The 4,851-nt window shown below is 39.2% G+C and overlaps 1 annotated feature.

Annotated features, from left to right (window-relative positions):
• Positions 3,901–3,950: an enhancer, noted in NCBI's record as "active region_16474". NCBI's record gives its function as "activates an Ori minimal core promoter by ATAC-STARR-seq in GM12878 lymphoblastoid cells {active_cell/tissue: GM12878}" and the evidence as "EXISTENCE:reporter gene assay evidence [ECO:0000049][PMID:35858748]".

Consider the following 4,851-nt stretch of genomic DNA (forward strand, 5'->3'; position numbering starts at 1 on the left):
AAATAGTCTATTTGTGGATATTGAAGAAGACCGCACATTCCAGAGGGCTGTTGAAAAGCACAGATGGAAAGAGTGGAAAAAAACTGCAGACTACCCCATACAAAGACACACAGTCATTAAAGGACAGGGACATTTGGTCAGTGAAACCATCTTGTTCTGCTGGAACATAGACAGTCCTTGTGAAAACCAAGAACCAGCAGAATTGAGGCTGAAAATCAGGTGAGGTCTTGTTGCCAACTAACCCTTCATACTGTTCCCAGTTTTATGGGTGATGGGAAGCCACTGGTGCATTTCCAAACTGGAAATGACACAAGGAATTGCTGTTTTCGAAAGAGAATCCAATCAGCTGTGCAAAGGAAGTTCTCAGGAGAGACCAGATATAGAAAGACAAATCTGACTAATACATTTTTTTTTCTTAAAAAAGAGACTAGAAAGGTAAAGGTAAGTGGATGGATAGGAAGAGAGAATTTATGAACAAAAGTAGTATGGTATGGTGAGATTTGATGGCTATTTGGTTATGAGGAGGCAGGGAGAATAAACAAGTGATAATGACTACATTTTTTAGTTTTGGAAAAGCACTTGTGAGTCATTCAGGGATGTTCAGTTGGCAGATGGAAATAGAAAAACCAATTATGAGTCTTCTGCTCATACATTTTAGGAAGTCTGCATTGAAGCTAGTTCTCCTTTTACTCAGTGATCCCATTTGAGCTAATAAGCTTCATAACCACTACTCACTTCATAACCACTACTCACTTCATGTCATGGCTCTGGCCTGTGAAAGGGAGGTTTACCTAATGAAGTAAAAGTTATTCTTCTAAAGTATAGTCACTGTTGATACATTTCTCAGGAACATTCTTTTTCTTTTGACAGCATGCTATGAAATAAAAATTGCGTGCAGACCTGGAGGAATATTAACATATGAAGACATTGGGGGAAGGTTATTGATTGATTTACTGAATGGTCTGATTCAAATGAACTCCTAATATATATAGACCATCTCAGAATTAATCACCTTCTCTACTCTTAGAGTGTTCCTTATCATTCAGGTAGCAATCATTTGAACACCCATCATTTTTAAAAAATGAAAAAGAAAACTGTAACTACCTTGACAACTGGAAGCATGATTTTAAGTAGCTGAAGGAGTTACTGGCTTAAGTTAGAAACAAACCAGATTGGAAACTAGGTATAAAGTAATTAATTTCTTCCATTTTGAGAAGTTGGAAGGTCTCACTGAGCTTTTGTTGGTTACTTATTCATATTGAGAAATTGATTATTTCTTTTGCCTAAAGTCAAAGAGCTCTGAAGAGACCTAGTCAAGATTTGGATGTTTTGAATACAGTCACAATTATGGTCTCAGAAATACTTTAAAACACATTCATCAGTCATGCTCTTATTCAGAATCAGGGCACAAATTTTAAACAATAAAATCCATGTGAACTTAAAAATATGCCTTCGAGTTATTGAACATCTAATTAAATTGCTTATTTCTCATTATGCCTTCTCTAACAATAAATGATTTTCATTCCTGAATCCCAATGGGATTTTCCTGGTCCACTTGTAAGTTGTTTATTTAGATACACAATGTGAATCTATATGTTGATTTATTTTGTAATGGTTCACAGGACTGGGCTACTTTCCTCTGAGTGAGGGTAAAATTAATCAGTAGGAAATGAATATTGTCAGTGTCAATGATTATAAGAGGAAATTATATGTGGGAGCAAGAGAGAATGAAGCAGATTATTTGTGGTTAGGAGTTAATTCAGAGGGATCCATGCATAATCTCCATCTCCGCCAATTTGGCTGTTTTACTCCTGTTGCCATCATGCCAGCATGGGATGCTCAATATCAGAGGCTGGCTGACATCAACTGGATGAAACCATTTGTTGATTGATGGTTTATTGTTTCTTCCATGGTGAATGATTGCTACTGGGAAATAATATGGGATACAAAGATCTTCAAACATTATGCTCACTTCCATATATCTCTCTCCATTCAGATCTCCTTTTCCCCAGTCTCTAATCTTTCTCCCTGCAGGCACCTGTCCCATTGTCCAGTCCGTTGGTCATGGCTCATGAATTCACACATAATTCTAATCCCAGACTATTTCTCTTCCCACACACAATAGATGACCAGTTTTACTGTTTGAAGCTCTGCCCATTGGGAGCAATTTTCTTTACCACTCTATTTTAAGGTCACTCCTGAGAAAGGAGGTAATGCAACTACAGACTATTTTTACCTTGCATCCACATATCTAAGCAAATTATCCATGAGCTAAGCTAGGGGTATTTCCTCCTCCTTCATTTGGTTGTGGATCTCTCATAGGGCCACTGGAGTGATCTCAAGAGAGTTGGCACTGGTGCAGCAGTGAGGAGTGTCACAGGGCTCTGAGATGCTTGCTCATGCAGCTTGCTTGTGCCCTCTTGTCTTGCTTATGCTTAGCCATTGATGTGACTACATACATTCATCTGACACCATGTGCCATATAAGCGATGCTTAATCTTAGGACTCAATCTGGACAGAACCCACTCATGGCAGGGCTGCTTACATCATAGTCTAGATCTCTGAAGAGCCCTTTTCTGTTCTGGGTCACCCTCAAATCTGCCAGCCTTCTGCACGATTAAATTATAGGCCATAGCAATATTCTCGAGTGTAGAAAACGCTGTTTCCAGATCCTGAAGAAGTCTACCAGGTAGAATGATTCCTTCTCTGTGGTGGTAGGTGAGAGATGCAATAATTTGCTTTTTACATTGGCTAAGATGTCCCATCATATACCTAACCTATGTGTCCTAAAAATTATAATGAGATGAGAGGCCCTTGAATCTTAGCAGGATTCATCTCCTTCACTCAAAAGTGCACACATTTACTAAGGTTTCTGACATGTCATTGAAATTGCCTTTCAAAAATTGTAACAGTTAGATAAATCTAACATAGCTGACTCTGTCTTGTTTCTAACCTCGCAAGCAAACTGCCTTTGCCCATCCGTACATGTAGGACAAGCTAACTATGGGAAGAATTTAGTTTATAGTTTAAAGCAAGAATGATAGTAGTCTCTTCCCAAAACTAATCTCCCACTTATTCAGGTACTGAAGTCGCTCCTTGTAAAGCTAATAAAAGGCCATAATTTTAGAATTACAGTAAGATCCTGAATTCTGCTAATGCTAGGCATAGTTAAATAATAACTAGTCATTGTCTCCTAATAGATTTACTGCTCAGGAGTCATGTAGCCAGAGGTCACAAAATTTGTAACTTCCCTAATTGCCCCGAGAGACAGCATTGCTATTGCAAAACCTGACTGGTGTTTGCAATATTTTTTAGAGTTTGCATTCTTTGGGCCAACAGATGCCAACCAGGCTCATGACCCATATCAAAAAACTGACTCAACTGCTCCTGTGACAACCCAGAAACTGACTCAGTGCACGAAGGCAATTTTGATGCCCGTATGATTTCATCCCCAACCAAGCAGCAAATCAAATTCCATAGCCCCTTGCCCACCAAACTGTCCTTAAAAAAAACCTCACCTCCAAGTTCTTAGGGAGGCAGATTTGAGAATTATCTCCCATTCTCCTCACTTGGCTGGCCCTGTGATTATGGAACTCTGGGCTGCAACACCTGCTATGCTCAATGTATTGGCTGTTTTGGAAACAGTGGGCAAGAAGAACCTGTCAGGCTGTTATGTTCCCAGACAGAACTGGGGTCCAGCTGCTTGTTCTCATGGTTCAATCATAAGATGCAAACAGACTGGGCAAGAAGGGAGTTTCTGCAACCAGTTACAGGGAGAAAACCAGAATAACTCAACAGACCAACTCAAAGTTACAAGTTTTTCTCCAGTGCTTATAATACATTCAAACCATATGCCTACGTGTGGGAAAGCACCTACAAACTGAAGTGTTTCACTCTGTCTAATCTTTAACTAGGGTTCAGATCTGGAAATTACTTCAGAGCCTAGGAACAATTATGTAATCTAAAGTGGGTCTTGGTACAAGGTGTGCAAGAATGCCTCCTTTTATTAATTAAACTCTAATGTCTGAGAAAGCCCAGGTGGGGTCTTAATGGACTTGTTTTTACATTCTAACCCTTGTACTAAGGCACCAGTTTCTCCAGTTCTTTAATGCTTAAGTTATACACTCATCAGATTTACACTAAGGTGGTGGTGAAGGATGACTGCCCTGGTTGCTAATGGAGACCTGGCCTGCCACAATTACACTAGTTATTTCTTACTCATTCCTCAGTTAGCATCATATCATTGATGGAGTGGATCATGTGATGTTGAGTGAGATGCATAGATAATCTAGATTTCCTTGGACTATATTTTAACAGAGGTTGGGGGCAGTTAACATAATTGTGGGACAAAACTTGAAACATTTGCTGTCGTTCCTGCCTTGTGAATGTGAATTTTTTCAGAACTGCTTTTTCTGCTAAGAATAGAAAAGAGTGTATTCAATAAATCAATGGCCAATTATAGGTACCTTAGACCAAGCTAATGTGCTTTTGCAAGGATTCCATATTTGGCATGGTGGCTGCAATTGTGGCTACTATTACTTTGTACTTTGTAGTGGCAGCTTAATATCTTCCGTTGGGATCTGTTTGGTTACTGCAGGAATCAAACTGGTAAATCATGGTGTTTGTTGGGACCACCAGCCTATGTCCTTTAGATCCTGAAGGTGCTTCTATTAATACTTTCTGCCATCCATCCCCTGAGAGTCACCAGCTGCCCAATGCAATATTGTTTTAGAAATACCATCTAGATAATGTAACTCTGTGTCCCATCATGCAAGGCTTGGTAATATATTTACTTTTGTGTTTACTTTTCTTTCTAATCCATTATCTATTTCTCAGCCAATATGAGCTTTT

This window comes from Homo sapiens, chromosome 2, assembly GCF_000001405.40.
Source record: "Homo sapiens chromosome 2, GRCh38.p14 Primary Assembly".
NCBI lineage: Eukaryota > Metazoa > Chordata > Mammalia > Primates > Hominidae > Homo > Homo sapiens.